The sequence below is a fragment of the Homo sapiens genome, chromosome 1 (genome assembly GCF_000001405.40).
Source record: "Homo sapiens chromosome 1, GRCh38.p14 Primary Assembly".
NCBI lineage: Eukaryota > Metazoa > Chordata > Mammalia > Primates > Hominidae > Homo > Homo sapiens.
The window spans coordinates 74,275,642-74,302,185 of record NC_000001.11 but is presented as its reverse complement, the minus strand read 5'-3'; the positions used below and the strand labels follow the sequence as shown (position 1 = coordinate 74,302,185).

The 26,544-nt window shown below is 34.5% G+C and overlaps 2 protein-coding genes across 3 annotated transcripts in view; both read right to left on the bottom strand.

Moving 5' to 3' along the window:
* The window catches only part of FPGT-TNNI3K (FPGT-TNNI3K readthrough), a 346,187-nt gene that overhangs the window by 242,243 nt on the left and 77,400 nt on the right, over positions 1-26,544 (bottom strand). The window lies entirely within an intron of this gene.
* The window catches only part of TNNI3K (TNNI3 interacting kinase), a 309,042-nt gene that overhangs the window by 242,243 nt on the left and 40,255 nt on the right, over positions 1-26,544 (bottom strand). The window lies entirely within an intron of this gene.

The following is a 26,544-nucleotide window of genomic DNA, read 5'->3' as shown; positions in this document are numbered from 1 at the left end:
ACACATCACCATCACAGATATAATATTGACAAAGTTTGAAATATTGTGGGAATTATCAAAATGTGACACAGGGACATGAAATGAGTACAGGCTTTTAGAAATATGATGCCGACAGACTGGACTGATGCAGAGCTGCCACTAACCTTCAATTTATAAAAATGCAACATCTGTAAAGCACAATACAGCAAAGTGCAGTGAAACAAGGTATGCTATGGAAGTTCATTTCTTGCACATTTACCAATAGGCACTTGGTAAATAGGTTGGCATGTTGGCTCTCCTCCACATAGTCATTTAGAAGTCACTGCTGTCTTTACTAAAATGTTTCCAAGGTTCCTCTGACAGATAGTTTTATTCTAGTCAACCACAGGAGAAATAGCATGGAAAAGCAAGTATGGTTATTGAAGGCCACACCTGGAAATAGTGCACCCCTCCTTCATTGAGTATTCAGTTGCAAGGCCACCTCAAACTGTGAGTGGGACAGGAAAATTCAGTCTTCCTGAATGTCCAGGAGGAAGAAAAGAACATAGATTTTGGTTAGCTGCTCTGTTACATTAGGGTCACTGAGAAGCCATATCTCCCAGGACACAATGGATCAATTCTCTGCAATCAAGTCTTTTTTAGGGGACTTGTGACTAATCTATAAAGTTGAAATTCTTCAGTTATTCCTACTCTCCATGTAACTATTTGATGTGATAGCTATTGATCTTTTTTCTGTTTTTACCTTTTCTAGGATTGTCTGGGTCATTCTTAATTTCCTATATCAACCCCCTCCCCATCATTTTTTTTGAGATGGAGTCTTGCTCTGTTGCCTAGGCTAGGGTGCAGTGGCTCGATCTCGGCTCACTGCAACCTCTGCCTCCTGGGTTCCAGCAATTCTCCTGCCTCAGCCTCCCTAGTAGCTGGGACTATTGGCGTGCACCACCACGCCTGGCTAAGTTTTGTATTTTTAGTAGAGACAGGGTTTCACCATGTTGGCCAGGATGATCTCAAACTCCTGACCTCAGGTGATCCCGCCGTCTCAGCCTCCCAAAGTGCTGGGATTACAGGCATGAACCACCACACCCAGCCTTACCCTTTTTAACTAACACATATAAGAGAGAAATATGTGTATGTATTTTATACATAGTCATATCCTTAAGATAAATCTTGCATATCTCTCCATAGAAATGCACATTCACACTTTATTGACATATTTATGCTTAATTAAGGAGATAGAACCTCGTAGATCAGTATCAGTCATGGTTCTAGGCTCTTTAGTTACATTTCCCCCAAAACAACATAACAAGTCAATCCTGTTATTATGATTACGTTAGAGAGAAAGAAATGTAGAGTTTGATAAAGTAAGCACCTCATCCCCACCCAAGGCTAGCCAGATAGCAAACAACAAAACTGGCATTTAAATTTAAATTTGTTTGCCTCCAGAGCATACCTACACTTTTAACCAGTCAGTGTACTGCCTCATAACTGGTGTCTATGCACGAAATACAATGAAATAGATGTACAAGCTACAAACTGGGACAGGAATTGTGAATAATTCTGCTCAATCCTATTTCAACATTTTAGTGGGAGAATGGTCTTTACTAAACTCTGAGCTCCAAAGCTTTAGGCTTAAGATCTTTGCATTTTATATTGCTCTCTAGGCTCTCTTCTGCCTTTCACTTTGTCCTCTAGTAAATCATTTATTTGCTTCGATCTTCTAACATCAAAATGATAATTCTGTAATTCCATTCAGGGAGTTTCCCATCAGTGTCAGCAATAACATATATCTTAGTTATATTTAAATAAAACCCTAAAAATTATGTTTATGTTGAAAGAAAACCCTTAGAAAGCGAGATTCTGATACAATGACTTAAATAGACTGTAAAATATATGACTATGTGAGCACATATGTAGGTGTCTGTTTAAAGTCATTTTTTCTCACAGAAAAACAAATCGTGTGGTCCATAAACTTGATCTAATGCATCTCTGGCCAAGTAAAAGTCTTTTCAGAAGTATTTTCTCATTCTTACTATGTCCCTAAATGTCCAGTGTGTTGCTTAGATTTCTGCTTCTTGAAAATTATGACAAATGCCATTTAATCCTGCCACAAAAGTGATAAAGAAAGAAGATAATTCTAAAGCCAAAAGAGTGAATTCAAGGTAGACGCAAATATATAGGATTCTAAGTTATAAAATTAGCTAGAAAGTTTTGAAAACTTCTTGAATATGAACAAAAATGAATGAAATTTTAATGAATATGCCATTTAGTACATCTTTAACAGTATGTATTTGTTGATATGTAAATATAAACTAATAATTTAGCTAATACAATGTAGCAAATATTGGCTTATTGCTCTAGAAGATAACATACAAATATCTTCATAAAAGAGCCACTGCCTGTCTCTTCAGCATCCTCTCCAAACCCTGTTATGTTAAACTTCAAGGTCCAGCCACATAAAACTGCTAGTATTTTTCTACATACACCATGATGCTTCTTGCCTCTGTGAATTTATTTATGCTGTTTCCTTCACCTTGAATATTCTCACATTCAATAGGGTGACTTAGTTTCCTCATGTTTATAATGAAGATAATAATACCACCTATCTTTGCAGTTATGATAATATAAAGAGATAATCAATGTAAAGTGCTTAGAAAATACCTGGCATACTGAAAACGCTCAATACAGGTTGTTTTCAAAGATAGGTGGCTTCATCTGTGCTACATTTATTTCACAATAGTTCAGCCAATGATATACTGTTGGCATGGAAATTTACTGTATCAAAAAAGTCTTTCAAGATTCTAATCTACTTATTTGATATATGTTTGCAAAATGTTACGCTTACACTAACAACGTATTTAAAATAGCAAGATAAACAGGATTACACTCATGTATACTGGTAAATTCTCTAAACAAAAAATAAACTTCAATGTTCTGTCACAAAGATGCAAAAGCCAGTAACCATAAGCAGTTAAACACATATATTTGTCACCAATCAGCACGCTTCAGGGTAGAGGCTGCTACATTTACAGTGGCAAATAATTTGACATATTTCATGAAATCAATGATTCAGGAGGTTTTTAATTTCTGTTTTTCCCACTCTGAAGAACAAAACCTCACTCTGTCTCTTTCCACCTCTAATATAATTCAGGAAGAATATCAAGTCTTAATTTAAAATGAGTGATGTAGTATAGAGTTTCAGATGATATATCTTTTCAAAGCTGTCAGTTTCCTTTCACCGTGTTTCCTATATTCCAAAAACAAGTTTAAATTAAACATAGATCAACAATAAATCTGCCAACTGGTATCTTATTTATGGCACTTTTAGAAGATACATTGATGCTTTTTTATAAACCAAAATGGACACTTTCTGATTCCTTCAGAATTAAAATTAAAACAACTAAAATATTTGTTGAAAATTTATTAGCCATGAGATGTCTACATGTCTCTTATCCTCACAATATTATTCCGTGATGCAACTCCCGCATAAGGCAGGGAAGTATATTATATATAGTATGTGTGAAAGAGGCCTCAGTTTTCATCGTCCAAACTTATTAAGTATAAAGTTATTATGATTTGAGGATTGAAAAGGAGAAAAACCTACAGCAGAAGATGATTTAACCAGATACCTGGGACAAAGTCTATTGCAGATTTATGATAGCTCAAAATTTGGATGATTTAACTCTCAAATTTGAGTGACCAAAAGATCAGTGTAATTTTTATATCATGATAAAAATTTCAATTATCAATTTGCAGTTGTGCAAACATTTATACTTAAATCGGACATACACAAATGACAATTCTTTATTTTAAAATGCTTACCTATATATTCATATAAGTAACCAAGAGCTCTTACAACTTTACTGCAATCATTCATTACTATTTACACTACCTGACTATGTTGCAGTGTTTGAGTCTTTGAGAAGAAGATACTCAAACTCAGTATCAGGTTACATGTTGTGTGCCTCTAATTTTTACTTTTTGAATAAGTATATCTATGCCTACTCTACTATTGTATGCTGAGTATATGAGAGGCAAATAAATGATATCTTTAGTTAGTATTCAGAATGAGATCAACCATAGTGGAGGAAGTAAACTGTGGATCCTCATTCACACTTAGACCTGACTTATTTGATGAGATCCTGAAATCTGAGCATAGTGTGGTAATGGAATGAGATTTTGGGAGGGAAACTGAAGAGGAGAATGTATTTTGCATATGGGATTAAAGTAAATAAATTATAGTCAAATAACAGACTTTGGAGGCTAAAAAAAATAGTGACAACTTCTTTGAAACTCTCCAATTGAGAAGTTGAGTCAGTTTCTCCTCCCTCTGAAACTGGATGGGTTTATGATTGTTTTAACCATAGAGTACAATAAAAGTGATGCTATGTGACTTTCAAGGCTAGGTCATAAAAGGCCATGTAGCTTTTATTTATTTGTTGAAATACAAAAAATTATAGACCAGAGGCACCTTATAAGAAATACGACTACCCTGACATGCTATGAGAAAACCCAAATGAAAATAAATGAAATCAGTATTTGAAGAGATATCTGTATCCCCCATGCTCATTGCACATTATTCACAGTAGTCAAGATATGGAAACAACTGAAATGTCCATTGACAGGTGAATGGATAAAGAAAATATTATATTTATACACACACACACACACACACACACACACACACGCACACACACACTGGACAAGATGCCAAGCATGGATAGGTTCTGGTGAGAGCCCTCATCCTGGTTTCCTCACATGGCCAAGAGAGAGAAGAAGCAAGCTCTCTCTTACCTCTTCTTAATTCCATCATGAGGGCTCCACTACTATGATCTTACGGTCTCCCAAAAGTCCCACCACCAAATATGATCCCAAGGGGGATTCGTGTTTCAACATACGAATATCAGGGGGAATACCAGTGTTCAGCCCATAACACACTAGCTACATTTGAAGTATTCAACATGTGACTACAGTAACCAAATGAGCAGCGCAGAATTTCCACCATCACAGAAACTTCTACTGTATGGTGTTGATCTATGTTGAAGTACAGAGACAAAGAGAAAAAGAAAACACAGGGAAGGTATTATATTAGTGTAAAAAATTTCTAAAATTAAAAAAAAATCAAGTCCCAAGAGGAAAGGAAAGAGAGAATGGCACATAAAGCAATATTTTAAGAGATAATGCCTGAGATATTTTCTCAAATGAAGAAATGAAGAAATGCCTGAGGGATTTTCTCAAATGAAGAAATACATGAAGCCACATATTCAATTAATACTACAAATCTGAAGGATTCCAAATAAAAAGAAAATCATCACTGGGAATATCATGGTAAAACTGATAACACCAACGGAAAAAAATTTAAAATAGCAAGATTTTTTAAAAGACACAATACTATCAAATAAGCAACAGTAAAATTGATGATTGGTTGCTTGACACAAATAATGGAATTGTGTCTTTAAAGTATGAAAACAAAACCAAGCAAGACCAAACTCCTGTCCAACCGGAATTCAGTAACCACTAAAAATATCCTTCAAAATTGATAGTGAATAAGTCATTTTTTTTTCTAACAAGCAAAACCAGAAAATACACCCCCAGTATATGTGCATTAAAGGAAATATTCAAGAACATGTTAAAGGAAATTCTTCAAGCAGGAACAACATGACTCCAGAGAGAATAACAGACACACAGAATGGAATAAATAGCTATGGAAAGGGTAAATATATGTTTAAAGCTAAATAAATAGTCTATATTAAAAATAATAATTATGACATAGCATTTTAAATAAATACACAAAAAGGTAATATATGACAAAAATAGAATAAAAGAAAGTGAGAGGTATACTTTAAAGTATCCTAAAGCTCTTTCACTGTTTGGGAAGTAGCAAATTTAATTATACTTTAATGAACAATGTTATATCAGATTTTTTTTTTTTTTTTGACGGAGTCTTGCTCTGTCACCCAGGCTGGAGCACAGTGGCGCGATCTCCGCTCACTGCAAGCTCCACCTCCCAGGTTCACACCATTCTCCTGCCTCAGCCTCCAGAGTAGCTGGGACTACAGGCGCCCGCCGCCTCGCCCGGCTAATTTTTTGTATTTTTAGTAGTGCCGGGGTTTCAACAGTGTTAGCCAGGATGGTCTCGATCTTCTGACCTTGTGATCCGCCCGCCTTGGACTCCCAAACTGCTGGGATTACAGGAATGAGCCATGGCGCCCGGCCCAAATTTATAATGAGTAAAGAATGCACAGTATAATCTCTAAGGTGACCACTCAGAGACCAGTAAAAATACTTAACTTAAAAGAAGACAGAAAATGAACAAAAACAATAGGTGGAGCAACAAAATCAAGTAATAAAACAATATACTTGAATTCAAATATATCCAATAAATTAAATATTAAATAAACAGACGGAATATTATTAGTCTCAAATTTTAAAATACGAATATTTCTTACAAGAGACACAATTAAATATAAAGATGCAAAAAGTTTGAACATAAAAGGATCAAAAGAAAAATGTCATGCAAACACTATTCAAAAGAAAGCTGGCATAGTGATATTGCTAAAAGATAAAGTAGAAATTCAGGTGAAGAGAATTACTAAAGATGAAAAGGGACATTTTATAATTTAAAAGGAGCCATTTAATCAAGAAAATATAGCAATTCTAAATCAACAGGCATTTTATTACTATAGGCTTAAAATATATAATTTGAATATTGAGAAATAGAAGTAAAAAATAGATATCCATGATTATAGTGGGAGAGTTTAAAGCAACTCTTTTATTAACTGATAGAACAAATGCGTAAAACAGTAAGTATACAGACAATTTTTAAAATGTGATTGACAAAAATTACCTAAGTGGGAACTAAAGCAGGAACTGAAGAATGGACATATTTTTCATGTATGCAGAGAACATTTGCCAAAATCCACCATATGCTTGGTCATAAAGCAAGCCTCACCAAATTTTGAAACATTGCAATAATACAAACTATAATTTCTGAGCATAATGCAATTATACTGCAAATCAAAGTAAAAAAATAATTAGTAACTGTCAAAATGTTTGAAAATTTAGCAATGAAAAAATAAATGACCCATGAGACAAATAATAATGGAAATCTGAAAATATTTGAAGTGAATGAGTGTGTAAATATATAAAAATTCAGGTATACCACTAACCCTGTATTTAAATGAAAAACTATAGTCTTAAATGTAAATATTAAACAATAAAAAAAGGATGAAAATAAATAATCTAATAATTCATCTTAAGAAGTTAGAAAAAATTCCAAGTTATATTTTCCCCAGAAAACTAAAAGAAACAGTTAAAAAGAAGAAAACAATGAAATTGAGTAAAAAAAATAGAGAAGATAACAAAAGCACAAAAGGTTTTTAAACAAACAATAATTACAAATTGAAAAATTTCTGACCAGATACCTGAGGAAAAATATTGAGAAGGAACAAATACATAATATTAGTAATGAAAAAGATCATTATTGCAGATCATTAAATATAATGAAGCACTTATGATCAAATTTATGCCAATAAATTTGGAGATTTGGGTGAAATAATCAAATGCCTTGGAAATCACAACTTTAAAAAATGAACATAGGAAGAAGTGAAAACATTTAAGTTTTCCTTCAGCTCTCAAAAAATAAGCCACACTTTTTTTGATTTTTGTGTTGTAAATATTTCCACAATGGCTAATTTTAAGCTACTTGCATGACATCACTGAGGAGAGAGTTAGAAAGAGGTGTGCAAAATGCACCCTGAGCCAGTGTCAGTATCAACAGATTCCCACAAACCACTATCCATATCTTCTGAAAATATCAAATTCATAATTTGAACACATTTCCAGAAAGAAAACCCATATCCTAGATAAATTTACTAGATAATGTTATTAAATATTTATGGAGGAAATAACATAAATCTTCACAAACTTTTCCAAAGAATAGAACTTTCTAATTTGTTCTATGAGGCCAGGGTTTTCTAACATTATGAGAAAATAAATTATAGGACAATGTCTTTCAAATACAGTTGCAAAAATTCTAAAGAAAATATCAAGAATCTATCAAAACATCATGTTGTACACCATAAATATATATAATTTTTATTTGTAAATTAAAAAATAAAAACATCAACAATCTGAATTCAACGAGTATAAAAATGACATGTCAGAAAAAGTGCAACTTATGTTAGGAATCCAAAATTAATTTGGCATTCAAAACCAATGTAAATTAGCATATTAATGAAATAATAGAAGAAAATTACATAATGATCTCAATAGATGAGAAAATATTTGATAACAATTTAATGTTAATAGTAATTGTGGACTAAATTCTTAGCAAACAATAGAAGGAAAAAATTCTTAATGTGATAAAAATGTCTATACATACTTAGAAAATAATCACAAAATTATAGAAACTCTATAGCTAATGCTGAAATATAATTTTATCCCTAAAATCAGGAATAAAACAGGTCTATTCTTTGTCACCATTTCTGTTTGACATTGTTCTAGAGTGCCAATGAAATAAGGAAAGAAAAAGAAATAGAAAACTAAGGACAGAAGAATCTATTTGCAATCGAATCATTCCCATGGTAAATATAAATCATTAAAATGTGAATTAAACAAAATCACTAGAAACAAGGCCAGTGTACAAAAATTATATTTTTATTCATTAGCAACAAGAAACAAATGAAAATTTTAATTTAAATTTAAAAAATAGTTCTATCAAAAATCACAGAATTACCAATCTGATTTTAATATATAATAAAATGTAAAAAGCGAAAAAGTAACAAAGAAAATCTTAAAGAAGAAGATTATTACATTCATATGCTTGGATGTCAAAACTCATTGTAAAGCTTCAGCAAGGAAAACACAGTGGTACTCACATACAACAAACAAATAGAACAGTAGGTTAATATAGAGTCTAGAAACAGATCATCACATATACAGGCACTTAATATTTGACGTAAGACAAGATGGAGCAAATGGAAATACAAAATACGTTGGTAGATTCAACTCCAAATATGTAAGTAATAATATCTAATAAAAGTGAATTAATCTTTCAGGCAAAAGAATATCTGTCTAGGGTAGAATAAAATTCAATTATATGCCATTTACAAAATGCCTTTAAAGTAAAACAGTTATGAAGTCTTAAAATAACAGTATAGAAAAAGATATGTCCAATAAATTCTAAGCAATAAAGTCACATATTATTAAATTGATAAGGGAAAAATTGGACTTCATGGGTAAAGTAAACCATTGCTAGAGATAGAGAAGTTCAATCTATTGTAATGTATTCATTAATTCACCCTGGGAAACTATAAACCATGTTAAATTTTATATCAATAACACATAGCATCAAAATATATTAGGCAAAACCTTATAGAACTACAACAATAAACAGCAAGATCTACAATCATGGTGAAAAATTTTTAACACAAAATTGATAAAGCCAACAAGAAACAATAAAGATATGAAAGACATGAAGGACACAATTAAGACCTTGATCAAATTTGTACCTATAAGCTGTGTAGCAAACAACTGCAGAATGCATATTCACTTCAAGAATAAAGGGAACATTCACAAAATTGACTAAATATTGGCCCTTACAGCAGCACTCAATGCATTTCAAATACTGGAAAACTAATGACGAAGTTCTTTGCTTACAGTACAACTAACTTAAAAATCAATATCAAGGTAATTTAAAAACACTAAGTTTGTAAAGTTGGAAACCTACTTCTAAATAATTTATGGGTCCAAAAAGAATTTCTAGTAGAAGGAAAAATGTTTTAAACTGAACAGTAACAAAATATATTACAACTTAAATGTGCCAAAAACAGAACTTACAAATGTGTAGCCTAAAATGCTGTTAGAAAAAAAAGGCTAAATATTAATAAGCTAAGCTATGCATCCATCTTAAGAAATTAGAAAAACAGTAGTGAAATTATATGAAGTTAAGAAAGATAAAAGCAGAAATTGATTAAAAAAAAGACAAACATATAATACTAGAGAAATTCAACAAAGCCAGAAGTTGGTTCTTTGCAAAGACACAAAATTGCTAAACTTCTGATTTCTGATAAGACCGACAAAAAGAGAGACCAAAATAATCAGTATCAGGAATAAAAAAGAATATGCCACTATTGGTAGAAAATTAAAATTATTAAGAGACTATTCTGAACAACTTTATATAGGATGTTGCATGACTAGATAAGTAGATAAATGAACAGAACAGAGATCTAGAAACAGATTTGCAATTAAATGGACACTTGATATATGACAGAATTAGTATTGTATATTATTAATAAGGAAAATATAAGCTTTTTAATAAAAGGTGTTGAGACAATTGAACATGTCAAAAAATTAAGTTAAACCCATGCTTTGTACCATAGACTGGAATCAATATTAGGTAGGTAAAGCACTTAAATACTGAAGGCAAACCATCAAACCTTAAGATAATAATTTAAAATATCTTTATGAAATTGAGTCTTGGGGGATTCTTAATATATGAAAGCATTAACCCTAAATAAGCAGAAGGCATCTGTAGCATACTCATCTGTAACAGAAAGCAGGTTGGAACTATGGTTAAGATCACAGACTATGAAGTCAGTCAACTTAGGATAGAATATAATCTACACCACTTACTAGCTGTGTGACCTACATTAAGTTATTTAACCTTTCTGGAACTCAGTTTCCCAATCTGTAAAATGAAACGAATAATGATACCTATTCCCGACATAAAACAAGATAATCTGTATAATGTGCTTAGAACCTTCCCTTGTACATAAGACCTATGTAAACATATATTATGTGGCTATGTAACAGCCACATGCATAAAAAAATTGTTAAAATGTCATAAGTGATCACTCACAAAGAAGTCACAATAAATAATAAAGTCACAAAAATATGCCTTTGATTTCATTTACATAAAGTTCAAGAACAGAAAAAATTAAAAATATTTAATTAATGATTTTATACAGAGATACATATTCACAGAGTTACACATACATTTACATATACTTAATATCTAGGAAAGCAAAGGAATAGTTACCATAGAGAGAGAGGGATTACTCTAGAAGAAGGAGACAGATATGAAATCAGAAGTTCTCATGAAGATTCTCCGGGGAACTAGAAATTACTTCTTAAACTGGTGGTCGTTGCATGCATATCCACTTAACAATTACTCCTTAAACAGCCTCTTTCTCTCTCTTTATGTGTGTGCATATATTTAAAATACATATGTTTACAAAAGAACATGGTGCACACTTAGAAGCTGTCTGCTGTATTTTTTAAATAAGAAAAGTATGCTTCAGAAGCATTTAGTGTGATCCTACATTTGAAAAAGACATACATGAAACAACCTAGGAGAATATCCACCAAAATGTCAACAGTAGTTGTCTTTGGGCAGAAATAAGTGGGGAGAGGTGTGTAGCCATTAATTGTGTAGTCACTTCTGTAAAGGTGAATATTTAAGAAAATGCATTCATTCTAGTAATAAGAAAAACTAAAAAGAAAGAAAAAACTTGAGTGTCACAACAAAGCTTAAATAACATTATACATGTTTCACAAAGTCTTTATATGTGTCTTTTCATGTCAATGTATAATCTTGTACAATGTCATGTTTAATGATAGCATAGTGTCCCACCATATCCATGCACTGTTTTGATTTAATCAATATTTAATGCTGGGCATTTAGAGCATTTTACTTTTTTATTTTGCATGAACACCCATGCAATTCAATCTCTTATTATTTTCGTAAAATAAATTTCTAGAAGTGAATTTCCTGGGTTAAAAGGTATGCAAAAATGTGATGCAGAGTTTGCATCATAATTCTGACAGCAGTATTTCAAAGGTAAATTAATTATTTATATATTGGTGCTGGGTTTTTTTCAATTACAAATATTATAAAAGTGTAGAAAGGCTTAAAATGCTTAGTTACCTAAATTAGGCATTATTTCAACAATTCTCCAGGGAGGACTTAGACTTGCTCTCTTGAAAAAAAAAAAAGAAATATAGAATGGCAAAATACATTAAGCAAAGAATTAATTCTATACATCTCTTTAATCCCATACCTAGTTTATTCCTGCAGATGTGGTATGTGCTTAGTGTGCTTGATTAATTGGAGGTTACTAAATTTGCCTCATTCACAGGAGGTTTCCACTTTTCTGGGGATGCCCAGAAAAGTTAGAAGCAACTATTGAATAGAGACAATAAGACACCAAGCTACAAAAATTCATAGGCTTTTACTATAAAATGGTGATTGACTAGATTTTCAAGGAGCTATGTTATCACACTGCTCATGGAGCACTCCCTTCTAAACAAAGTGACTGTCTCTCATTCTAACAATTCATTTCAGCCCTTCTTAGTATTATCGGTGTCAGAGTCATGCATTTGGTTTGCCAATGTATTAGGCTAAAAGACATAAAATCAAGTTGGAGAAGGACTAGACACATATAATTTTCTAAGTATGAGGTTAGGGGGAGAAACAGCAGATATAAATAATCTGAATGAACTTATTTATCTTGACAGTTTGCAAATTTTGACAGCAGTATTTCGAAGTATTTCCATGCTATCAATGGCAAGGCTGTGTGATATAGCACAGGACTGTAATTCAGTAGCCCATTTTATGCCAGAGAGCACAATTCCCATGTTAGACTGGAGACAAGATTATTGATTAAAACAAAGATTGGGAAAAGTCATAGAGAGAGGCATGCAGACCTAAAAGACTAATGACACTACCTATGGGTGAGTTCGACTTCTTTTTTGTAGAGTGGCATAAATTTAAACCCCATTACTCTCTTTTGTTAGGGTCAAACTTCTTCATTAGATTAAGTCCAAATTCTTTTTTTATACTTTAAATGGTCAAAAGATATATTAAATGGGGAGAAGAAATGGATACGTTTTAAACAAAAATTTTTAAAGACAAAATGTGATCATCATTTTTTAATTAATTTTTAAAAATCAAAACAGCATATATCCATTTTTTAAGTCAAAAATGGTTCTACAAGGTCAACTTTGAAAAACAAAGTTCTCTGGTTTACTTCTCCTTCCATTATTATTTCCCAAAGATAAGCACTTTGACTAATTTAGCTGCTTCTTTGGATATTTATATACACAATGTAAAAATAATTGATTTTTTTAATATTTATTTTTTTTCTGTTTAACCACACTATGTGGAAGATGAAGATGTAATCCTTTTACTTGTTGCTCCAAGCCACAACATACACTCTTTCCCCATATCCCCACATATAACTTTTAGCTTTACCTATATTCAGTGTTTAAAAATTTATTTTTCCACCTTTATTGAGGTATAACTGACAAATAAAAAGTATGTATTTATTTTGTGCAACATGATGCTTTGACTGATTTATATATACATTGTGAAGTGATTACCACAACCAACCTAATGATCATATCCATCACCTCACATAGTTAAATTTTTGTGGTAAGAACATTTAAGATTTACTCTCTTAGCAAATTTAAAGTATACAACATAATATTAATAATTATAAACACTACATTGTACATTAGATCTCCAGAATTTATTCATTCTTCATAACTAAAACTTCGTATCCTTTGACCAACGCATCCCTGTTTCTTCACATCCAGCCCCCGGCAACCACCATTCTACTCTCTGCTTCTGTAATTTTAAGGCTTTAAGATTTTACATGTAAGTGAGATCATGAAGCATTTGTCTTTCTGTGCCTAGCTTATTTCACTTGGCATAATGTCCTCCCAGTTCATTCATGTTGCTGCAAATGAGAGAATTTTCTTCATTTTAAGATAAATAATATTCACATATATGATATGTATACTATTCTATACCCACATTTTCTTTATCCATTCATAAATAGATGGACACTTAGGTTGATTGGTTGATTTCACATCTTGGCTATTGTGAATAATGTTGCAATACGAATGAGAGAGCAATAGAATGAGACACCATTTTTAAAAAATGGGAATGCAGATATATCTTCAATATGCTGATTTTAATTCTTTTGAATATATACCCAGAAATGAGGTTGTTGGATCACATGGTAGTCATATTTTGAATTTTTTGAGGAATCTTTATACTCTTTTCCATAACTGCTGTACCGTTTCACTTTTCTGCATATTCTTGTCAATACTTGCTATTTTTTGCCTTTTTGATAGTAGCCATTTTATAATGGTATGGGGTAATATCTCATTGTAGTTTTAATTTGCATTTCCCTGATAATTAACGATATTAAGCATTTTTTTCATATACTTCTTGGCGATTTGTATTTCCTATTTTTGAGAAATGTCTTTTCAGGTTTTTTGCACATTTTTAGATTGGAATATTTGTTGTCCTTTTACTGAGTTGCTGAGTTGAATTCCTTATATATTTCGAGTATTAACCCCTTATCAGATGTATGGTTTGCAAATATTTCCTCCCATTTCATAAGTTGTCTCTTTATTCTGTTGATTGTTTCTTTTGCTATGCCAATGCTTTTTAGTTTGATGCAATCCTGTTAATCTCTTTTTGCTTTGTTTCTTGTGTTTTTGAGGTCATAGCCAAGAAATCATTGCCCAAACCAATTTCAAAAAGGCTTTTCTCTATGTTTTCTTCTAGTAGTTTTAAAGTTTCAGCCCTTAACATTTAAGTCTTTAGTCAATTTTGAGTTGATTTGTCTCAGTATCATTTATTGAAGAGAATGTCCTGTTCCTATTGTGTGTTCCTGCCACCTTTGTTGAATAAATATTCTTATACCCTTATATATGTGATGAGTCACTTTTCTCATGGTGCTTTCAAAATTCTTTCTCTGTCTTTGATTTCTGAGAATTTAATTATGATGTGTCTCAGTGAATATCTCTGTATCTTTGGGGTTCTTTGGGCTTCATGGATAAGGATATTCATTTCCCTTTCCAAACTTGAAAAGTTTTCTGTCATGATATCTTTCAATAAGCTTTCTTCCCCTTTCTCTTTCTCTGTTTCTTCTTGGACCTCAATAATGCATACACTGGTTTACTTGTTGATGTACCAAAAGTGCTGTAGGCTTTTCCACGTTTGTCATTCTTTTTCTCCTTTTTGTTTATCTGAGTAATTTCAAATGACCTGTTTTTTTCCTTAGTTTCTTTTTTTTCTTGCTGATTCTCTCTTCTGCTTGATCAAGTTTGTGTTGAAGTTCTCTGTGAAATTTTTTAGTTCAATCATTGTGCTCTTTAGCTTCTGAGTTTCTGATTGATTTCTTTTTATGGTTTCTACCTCTTTGTTGAACTTCTGATATCTGTGTTCTCTTGGAGCACATTGAGCCTCTTTAAGGTGATTATTTTTAATTATTTGCCAGGCAGTTCAGAAATCTTCATTTCCTTAGGGTCAGTTCCTGGTGCTTTGTTTCCTGGGTAGCATCATGTTTCCCTAATTATTTGTGATCCTTGTGGCCTTGTATTGGTATCTGTGCATTTGAAGTAGACACTTCTTCCAGTCTTTACAGACTGGCAAGGAAAGCCCTTCACCAGACAGCTTGTCCAGAGATTCTGACCAGGTTATCCATTGGGGTTTGCAGTGGGCTTGCCACGGGAGTCCTCAGGCAGGCTGGCCTGCTGCCTAGGTCAGTGGGTTCATGGGCCTAGTGCCTAAGTCCACAGGGGTCAATCTGATGTCTTTTTTTGTAGGGGCAAGCCTGGAGCCTGGGTCTACTGGGGAGGGCCTGGACATTGGGTCCATATGAATGAGCCTCGTACCTGAGTTCATGTAGGAGGGCTTACATGAACTCTAGTCCCTAGTAGCCTGGGACTACTAGGGCTGGCCTGCAGCCTGACTTATGGGGGCCTTCCTGGCACTGGGGTGGCCCAGAGCAGGCCTGGAGCTGTGAGGGCTGGTCTGATATTAGAATGAGCCTGAGGCCTGAGGCCACAGGCTACAGGGGCTAGTTTGGCAGCGACATGGGCCTGGATGCTGGGTCCATGGGGGCCAGAGAGAGGTCTGGGGACATGAGGACTGGCCTGGTTCTGGAATCCACTGGGGTAGGCATGGTGCTGGGGCCTGCAATGAAGTTAGGGACTCACTTTATTCTTTTCCTTTACATGGAGGCTATCTCTATTTGTACTGAACTGCATAGGCTTTAGGAAAGGGTGACATGCATAATGTAAAACTATTCTTGTCCTCTTCAATGTGTCTTTGCTGATTTCTCTGCTCCATTCAGATGCCATAATCTCTCATCTGAATTTCTTAGCTCTTGTGAAGGTATTTTTATGTGTGGATAGTTCTTCAAGTTGATATTTCTGTGAGATGACAAGCAATGGAAACACCTATTCTGCCATACTGCTGACATCACTTAATTGTCATCATTTTTTTAAGGCTGTGATACTTTTTATAGGTATTAAGACTAATTTGTTTGAAGTTATTCATGAAAATTGCTTGTAATTTTGTAAGCTACTTTCTTCATGAAACGTATCATTATAATCTCTTCTGCTTTTATGGAGAGTAGAAATAATTTTCCTCATTCTGTTTAATTCCTAAAACACTTGAATAATTATTAGTTTAGTCATTTGACAGAAACTTATTAAAAATCTACTGTATGCAAAAATCACAATATTGGAACCTGTGAGAAATATGATGATTTCTAGTGTGCAGTTCCTGTGCTCAAAAAAGAGTATAATAAAATAATCAAATAAAACTATGCTCATGAAACAGGTGGTGTTACATGTTATTAGAAAGGTACAAAAAAACATTGTGGTTGTTCAGAGCATAGAAAAACTTCAGGATAGATGGATCCAACAGTTTCATGAAAGTGGCATTTCATCTGGGCTTTGGGGATGGGTAGAAAAGGTGAACCATAAAGAGACTATAGTGTTGTAGAAACACGGGGCATACAAATGGGTAGCAGTTAATTTAATTTAGAGCATGTTTTGCAAGATAAAGAGCATAAAGATCCAGGGCTGAAAAGGTAGGAGAGCTAGATTATCACCACTAAATCCCTTGCTAGGTGTATTTTGAGGTCAGAAAGGTTTTTGTTCAGGAGAATGCCTTTACCAAAGCCATGTGTTAGTGAGTCCCTTGAATTTTTCAGGAGCATTTTGAATGAAGTGGACTGTAAAAGATCTGGACACGGGCCTTATAAGTCAAGGTACTATTGTAGGAAGTCCAGGAGCAGAATGACAGAATGAATTCAGAGAACAGTGAAGGAACATATTCACCTCTAACTAAGAATAATCTTTATATTTCTGAACAAAAAATGTGTATCCATTGCCCTTTATCCTATTTAACTTGGAACTTTTCTCAAGTCTCCTGAATAGCTCAATATATGTCCTTTCAGGACAAATTATGAGAAAAAAAATCTTTAACTATTGTCAGGACCTGCCCAGATGTGGAGATCTGCAGTAATTGTGAGAAACTCAGCCCAGAGCTGAAGGAGTTAGCCCATTTATGCCTAGTGTTCCATTATTGGAACGCTAAGCTTGTGGGAGTTATTTATATCCTACTTCTCAAGGTCATCGCCAAGGTCTGATTTTTCACACAAAAAAATGTGCAACCTCTGGCATAAATGGGTTAGTTAGTAACCTGAGATCTGCTTTAGGGCAGAGAAAAGAGTAAAATGGCTGCAAAATGAAAGATGCAGCAAGGGGCTACTCTGAATTGCTTCTCAGAGTGACTTTAGAAGGTTTTGTGTGCCTTGCTTAAAAGTTCCATCCTTTACAATAACTATTAGGTTTGTGCAAAAGTAATTGCAGGTTTTTTAGATTAAAAATAATGGCAAAAACCACATTTATTTTTGTACCAACCTAATATATTGGCCTAATGTATAGTTGTACATGAACAAGTGATAAGTAGCAGATGGGCCAAGTGCCTTTAAGGGTCACCGCAAAAGAGAGATTCTGTGAGAGAGGACAGTTGCTGAGAGTCAGTTATGGGGGCTTTAGCCTCTTCCTCCATCCCACCCTCAGCAAGCTTCTAAAGGGTCTTCGGAGATCCACTAAAGGGAGTCATCAAGAAGAACAACTCACACGATGTTTATAGAATATCCAATACTCAAAGGCCACTGTCTAAACACCATCCCAGGATGAATCATCCCTGAGAAAAGTAAGTAGCCCCCACTTGTTATTTTACTACTGTATTCAAAGGTCACATAGAAAATATTATTATTACAATGTATTCCTAATTAAGGGGAAGAAGAAGAAGAAGAAGAATTTCCCGTCTTCCTGAGACATAGTGAGCTCAGAGGTTTCCAAACTCTGAGGATGTGACTTTAACAAGCTATAGAAATTCTGATTTACAACTCAGTCTTCAAATTCCTTGTAAGGAGTATGGTGTGCAAAAAGAAGGCTAAGTGCAGACGAATTAAAATATATAGGCGTTTCTTACCAACTGCTGCAAATATGTAACAGAAATATTTCTGTTTAGCTAATACATGTTAATTAATAACATGAATTATACAAATATGTGTATATATTTCTATGTATATATAAAAATGTGTATATACATTATCTACATATATATGTATAGAGGACCTAGGATGTTGGAAGCAAATTCAGTGCATAGAAAGATTGACATAAGGATGCAAATTAACACAAATGGTTACAAAGGGATTTCTCATATCAGGTTGATTTGGTTAGCAATAATCGTTGAATCTAATTTTTCAGGTAATGTTTCTTCCATCATTTTCCAGGGCAGCAAGCTGATGAACATCTCATTTACATTTTTATTAGCCTATAAAGCTTTTCTTGCTTATGCTCTTCTACCTCACCCTGAAAGCAATACTTAATGTTTAATAAAGCTAACAGAGTCTATGCCAAAGACCTGAGTGACAAAAAGAAATTGACAAGCTAGCGTCCTTTTATATTACTCCTTACAATTGATACATGTTTAAAGAATTGCTCTGAGACCTTAAAATAACTGATAATAATACATGATCTATGATCTTGTGTTTATCTCCAGACCAAAAGCCTGCAGAGTAGTAGATTGCTTTTTCACCTTTAATAAGGAGTATTCTGTAACATAGGGCACACTCAGTAATGGGGTATAGAGTTTATGGTTTCAACTCCCGAGGAAACCATTTTCGAATGCCACAGAATATGCAGTGTTCTTAAATTGAGTCTTAGATATTTAAGACTATGTGTAAAAGAAAGGTTTACTTTTAGAAACTTAACTGTTTAAAATGAAGGTATATCAAGTTTTGGCATTGTGGAACTGCACATGACTACAAAAACCAAGTATGGAAACCTATAAAGTTAATGACAATGAATGGTGATTATAATACCTATCAATCATTAGTGACATTCCCTAGATTGATATTGAAACAATAATTTATAATGATGTGCATCGGCTGGCATATTTGGCCCTTGCGATGTTTTCCATATCCAAATTATGGTAGTCTGAGATGTGCATATTGGTGGTCTCCTACAGAAACAGGACTTGTTTCTCTGCCTGTGAAATTTTGGGAGACTTATCAGAGACAAGGTAATATTGATGCATTGTGTGAAATAAAAACAACATCAGGCTACATAACAGATTCAGAGAAAGAGAGAGACAGAAAGAGACAGAGAAAAGCTTCCAAATTATTTTTACAGATTCAACATGACATTTATTTCAAAATCTGACAAGGATAATTGCTATGGGGAATTGTGTCCCCTGAAATTCACGTGTTGAAGCCCTAACCCCATAATACCTCAGGATGTGACTATTTACAAATAGAGCCTTTGAAGAAGTAATTAAGTTAAAATAAGGTCATTAGGGTAGGCATTAATTAATATGACAAGTGACCTCATAAAAAGAGTAGATTAGAACACAGAGACCAAGCTGCCAGGCATGTGCACACACAGAGATATGAGCATGTTAACATACAGCGAATGCATCTGCAAACCAAGGAGAGAGGCCTCAGAGGAAATCAAATTCGCCAACACCTTGATAATGAACTTCTATTGCCCTGAACTGTGAGAAAATATATTTCTGTTGTACAGAAATGTATAGTTGTACATGAACAAGTGATAAGTAGCAGATGGGCCATGGTAGCAGTAGCAGATATGACATGGTCATATCTCTGTGTGTGCACATGTCTGGCATCTTGGTCTCTGTGTTCTAATCTAACTCTACTGTAATGTACAGTGAGATACATTTCACTCAGTCTGTGATATTTGTTATTGGCAGCCTTGGAAACTAATGCCATAATACAAAAAAGAAAACCATAGGCCAACCTCACTTATGAATATTAGCAAAACAAGTTTAGCAGCAAGCTAAGGGAATAATGTACCATGACCAATTGTGTTTCATTCCAGGAGTACAATGATAATTCAATTGAAAAATGATAATTGTTCTGAAAATATCAACCACTGCAATTAGGAAAAAGAGAAACAAGATGTTTAATTATCAGAAGGGAAGCAAAATTATCACCATATATTGGAATTTAATTGTAAACCAGGAAGTTCCAAAAGACTCATCTAAACCATATGATAAAACAAATCAGTAAGTTTAATGATTTAAACTTAAATATCAAGAACCAATGTTTCTTGATTTTTAATATGTTTTATATAGTGTGTTTATAGGATACACACACTATAACAAACTAGAAAATGTCATTCACATTGCAATGAAAAGATAAAATACCTGGGAATAAATTTTAACAAATTTATGAGAAGAATATTCTGCTGAAAGATCGAAAAAGAAACTTGAATAAATGGAAAGAATTTGCTCTGAAACAGAAGACTCAATATAATGGGGACATTAAATTTCCCTAAGTTAAATTGTACATTAATGTTTTACCCTACCTAGGATACCACATTTTTTCTTTACAACTATATAACAGTAAAATCAGAAACAAAACAGAACAAATAAAAATGAGAGCTAACTTTCCTAAAGTTTATGTGCTAGGTAGTGTCTAAGCATTTGACATATATTGACATTACACACACACACACACACACACACACATCTATTATTGTGGGTGATAGTATAATCCACTTTCTAAAACTAGAAAATTGAGGCCAAGGGAGGATAAATTACTTTCCTATAGCTGAGACTGCGCTGGGTCACACCTGAAGTCAGCATAGTACTGGGTCTTGCCCAAAGCCTGTGGTGACTATTTCTTGGCTACCACTCATGTTTATTCAAGGCCTGAGGGCTCTTTAATCAGCAAGTGGTGAATCCTTCCAGGCCTGGGTCCTTCCCTTCAGCGCACTGGGTTCCCTTCTGTCCCAGGGTGGGTCTAGAAATGCTGTTCAGTAGCCAGGGCCTGGAATCAGGAGAGGGCTTCCGGAGTCTGCTAGTTGCTTTAGTTTACTGTAGCTGAGCTGGTTACCCAAGTTGCAAGACAAAGTCCTCTATACTCTTCCTTCTCCCGTTCCCAAGCAAAAGAAGTCTCTCCCCAAGTTGCACTGCACAGAGTTGGGAGATGGGTGATGCAAGTACTCCCTTGGTCACCACCGCTGGTGTCTCACTGGGTCACGTGCACCCCAAGTCCACTGGTTGCAAGCCCAGAAGAGCATCAGTACTTGCCCAAGTACTGTAGTCCCTGAGGCCTGTCTTTCAAATTTTTTCAGGACCCCAGCACTGTAGTCAACCAATGGTAGAGCTAGCTGGAAGTCAGGTTCCTACTGCTGCAGTGGAGGGTTACCTTCTGGCTGAGGCTGGTCTAAATGCTCCCTCCATGGGGGCTGGCAGAATTCTGCCCTGTATTGTTTTTCACTATGATAGGCCATCATTGAGTTCCAATGCAAAGTCTGACAATCACTTTGCTCTCTCTCTCTCCCAGACACATGGATTCTCTCTCTGTGCCATGCTGTGCCACTAGTGGGGAGGTGGGGAAGAGTTTAGGTAATGCAGGACTGTCTTTCCCACCCTCTTCAGTGCTTCTTTCCTTTTTTATTTTATTTTATTTTTTTTTTGAGATGGAGTTTCGCTCTGTCACCTAGACTGGAGTGCAGTGGCACGATCTCTGCTCACTGCAAGCTCCGCCTCCCAGGTTCGCACCATTCTCCTGCCTCAGCCTCCTGAGTAGCTGGGACTACAGGCACCTGCCACCACGCCCAGCTAATTTTTTGTATTTTTAGTAGAGACGGGGTTTCACCGTGTTAGCCAGGATGGTCTTGATCTCCTGACCTCGTGAACAGCCCATCTCGGCCTCCCAAAGTGGTGGGATTACAGGCGTGAGCCACCGCACCCAGCCTTCAGTGCCTCTTTTCTTGATGTTAAAACCAGGCACTGTGATCATCACCTGATTTTTGGTTATTATGAAGGTGCTTTCTTGCCTGGGCAGTTGTTCAACTCGGTTATCCTGTGGGGCGTTAAGGGGACGATTGCTGGGGAGTTCATTTCAGCTATTTTGCTCTGCCTCTTTCTCAGCCCATTTTTCAATTGGGTTATTTATTACGTTATAATTATTGTGTTGTAGTTCCATTGCATTATAACTTTCTTCTTATTTTAATACTACTACTATGAAATTTTATATCTTAGAAAGGAAAAGAGAGATAACATACATTTAGAGCACCCACAATGTGTGAAGTACTAGGCATATATTGTGCACAATGAGTGATTATGATCCTGGGCTCTAGAATGAGCCCTGAATGCCACTTTAATAGTTACTAAAGCACTTAAATCAGTACCAACCAAAAGCAAATTGTAAAGCAAAACAAATGAAAGCTACATCTTTCTATTCATTCATTCATTCATTCATTGTTTCTATTTATCTTCCTCAGATATCTCTTTTAAATCTAATTTCTTCTAATACTCTTTAGGGGAGGGTTCTTAAATTTGAATATGCATATGAATCATCTGGAAATCTTAAAATGCTAATTATAGGCAGGTCTGAGGTAGTCTTGAGATTCTATTTTCAAAGAAGTTCACTGGTTATACTATATTGCTAATCAATAAATCAGACTTTGATTAGCAAAGCTTTAGCCTATGAACTGATTACTAAAATTTTAACTACAAAAAGCTAACCGCAACTGAAGCATTAGAAACTTTTGCATTTTTACAGAGTCATAACTGCCTAAGAATGCAAAGAGTGAGCCTGTGGTGGGAAGGAGGATTAATCGTCTGGAGTAGGGGCCTTGTCCAATACCCAGGTAAGAGGTGGCCTGCCCATTCAGGAAGATACCCCATTTAGCCACTTTCTCTCATGGGGGTGTTCCTAGTCTGATAATTTAGGCACATTTTTGTGACTAGAAGTGTAGTTTGGGGACTTGAAGTTTTAGTTGAAGATTTCCTTCCAGCATTGATTTATAATGAAAATAGACAGGTAGTAGAAAGAAATTGCATTTACACTATCAGTTGAATCTGTATCTTTTTCTGTTTTGCTAAATAAAGTCATATGTAATTATAACATAATTTTGATAGAAATCAACCTTACTGAAAATGAATGAACCTTGAAAACTTTACACAAAATAAAAGAAGCCAGTCACAAAAAGACCACATTACATAATTCCAATTATATAAAATGTCTGGAATAGCCAATCTGTAGGGATGGAAAGTAGATTCATGGTTGTCTTGGCAGTGAGGGCTGGGTGGGACTGACTACTTAATGGGTATTAAGTTTCCTTTTTGGGTGACAAAAATATTCTAAAATTAGATTTTGGTGATGATTACACAACTCTGCAACTATACTAAAAACCATTGAAGTGTACATTTTAAATGGATGAATTATATGGTATATGAATTTTATCTCAACAAAGCTATTAAAATGTAATGCAGAAATTTTAGAGAAAAATTATACAGCCCAAAAGAATGGGGACCATACAAAAAGGCACCAGAATATCTTAATGTGCTAAGTCTTTGAGGGGGTTCAGATCTGCAGATATGGCATGTTTTCCTGACATATTCTAAGCTTCTGTGTATCATGTCCAAAGCTTAAATTCTGGTCAGGTGAGCTGAGAGGTTACTGTTTGGATCAGGAGAGAAGCAGTACAGCACAGTGAGTGAGAGAGCTCTCAACTGAGGATCAAGTCAATTAATATGTTCAGTACAAAGTTATCTATTCAAAGCATTAACTATTATTTTGTTTCATTATTTGTTCTGATTCCAAATGGAGTTCACAAGGGACTATTGCCTATTCACAAGATTGGGGCAGACTTGCTACTGTTTAGGTAAAAAACTCATGACTACCCTCTCTCTAAAAAATTAAAAATAAGAGAGAGAGAGAAACCATATTTTATAATTCTAAGCATTCTGTCATTTGTGCCTTTGGAGAGGAAACTAAAGCGATTATTAAAAAATAACTTACACAGGGTCCGAGGCTTCTTGGTAAACAAAATTCTCTACTGAAACATTTGGATGATTTAGTAAAGAATGAACTGAAACAATACTGAGTGCATTACCTTGAAATCAGAAATAAGTTCCAAAATAACTGGGAAGCATTTCTGAAGCAGTGATTGAATAAGTGTTTACAATTTGAAAATGGGATATGGTAGGATAGAATAACTTCAACTATGAATAATACGCTCACCTTCACAAGGTGTATATGAAAGTACACTTTTCTGTAATAAGAAAACCACTCCACAACCTCTATACATTACACATTGGTTTACATGTTTGCTGCATGCCTTTCTGTTCACTGCTCAAACAGTTGTCAACGGCTGCAGAAAACTGATTTGACTTATGGCAACTGCAGAAACTACAGCACGTAACACCAGAGTAACAACTTTTTAAGGAGTTATTTAAGTATAAAGTGTTTTACACTTGAGGTGTGTGTGTGTTGTGTGCTCATATACCTACATTATACTTCCATAGGTTATGCCCATATAGTGAATGCATTATGAAATTAGTTTTGAGTCATTTAATGTTGCTTTAATCGTATATGTAGTAATGCTTGGGCTTTATATAGTAACATATTCCGTTTCTTTTTTCACTTTCCAAATACTTTTTTTGTGTCTTGTGGGTATAAGCTGTGTTATAGCAATAAACAGAAGAGTCTCTGGGGAGTAATCGCTCTTTTATGTATAAGACTACAGATGTGAAGGTAGATCCCCAGGTTGGAGTCCCATCCAGCTTATTTATTTATCATCTGAATGCCCATGTAGATGTCATTCAGCTTCTCCAGTCCTCAGTTTCCTCACTAATAAACTGAGTCTGACAGTAGTTATCTCACAAAACAACCAAATGACAAATGTATGTGAATGATAAAGTACCACCAAATGTTAGCTAATATTTTTCCTTTTCCATGCCTGGGAAAGCGTATGACTCACATTCCCCAAACCTAAAGGGAAAAAGAGGATTTAATGCATGTTTATTGATTGCTGACAGGATCTTAGGCCTTGTACAAAGAAGCATATGCAAATGTATTGATAGATGGATGTATCAGTCAAAGAGAAGTATTGAGACCTGGGACAACTAATATTTGCCTACTCTTCAAAGCACAGTAAATTTAAATCTGAGTCCCAAATTGTAGTCAGCATGTCTAGGAATCTGCAGCACATGTTCTCTTCTATTATTGAAGAAGACAGCTGCCTAGTCAATGTAAATTTTATTGTAAGATTGTTTAATAGAATTCACAATTATGGGAGGACAAACACACTTGAGACACTAATGGAAGGTCTGAATTTGATATGTGGAGACAAAGAGTCCTGTCAGACTTAGCATCAGCTATTGTTTCACAGAGAAAGGTGGGCAATAAAAGATAGTGACTAGTAATGAAACAGAACACCCACTGATCCGTTGCTATTTCTGCTAACCATGATAATAAAAAATAGGAGTGGAATAAGCACCTAAATTTTTAGCATAGTAAGGAAATACTCGATGTGTGTTTTATCCCAATGTGCTCTACTTTTCTGCACTAACTTTTTTGATACCTGGGATCCTTTAACTCTTGAAACTCTCCTAATTGCAATATTAAAATAATCTTAGTCCTTTCCATATCACTGAGCAATTCTTTGTTTCCTTCAATAATTCCTTATTTAATAATTCCTTAAGTCTCCGGGGAGATTCTCTTAGGCTCGGTCCTATGACCATCCATTATGCCCAATATACAACTTTAAGCTGTTATTATGGTTTTAAATATTACCTCTCTATATATAATTTCTAAAAATTTACGTTAAACCCAAATGTGTCCATTAAATGCCGTTTGTATGTTTCTAAATGATTAATGAACATTTCCACTTGAAAATTTGGATGTCATCAGAAAATCAACATGTGTGGAGCTAATTGATTTTTCCTCCAAATTGAATCCTTTACCCAAGCTTTTATCTTTCTTTGTTTAATCATCATGTAATCGCACTAGAATTCATGCTAAATCATGCAGTCAAAGTAAAGTAATCCTTTTAAACATGTTACTTATCAAATCTCCAATTATTCTCTTGCTGAAATATTTTCTCAATTAGTCCCTGTTTCCTATGGGGGAAAAATCACATTGGTTCTTCTAATTTTCTTTAAAGAGTGAGAAATTCTGTGTTCTACTAATCTCTTAATCTGCCATGCCATCTACTCTTGTGTGTTATATATTGTAAACCACAGAAATTGTGTTATACATTGTAAACCACAGTAATTGCTTCTTGCATTAAATTAAACGCCTTAGACTTCTACTCTCCAAGTTTCTTTAGTCTCGTCTATTCTTAACACCTAATTTTACCTAGAGGGACTCTTCACAATTTGTTTCATGTTATCATTTTACTCACTGTCCCTTACTGTGCTTATCT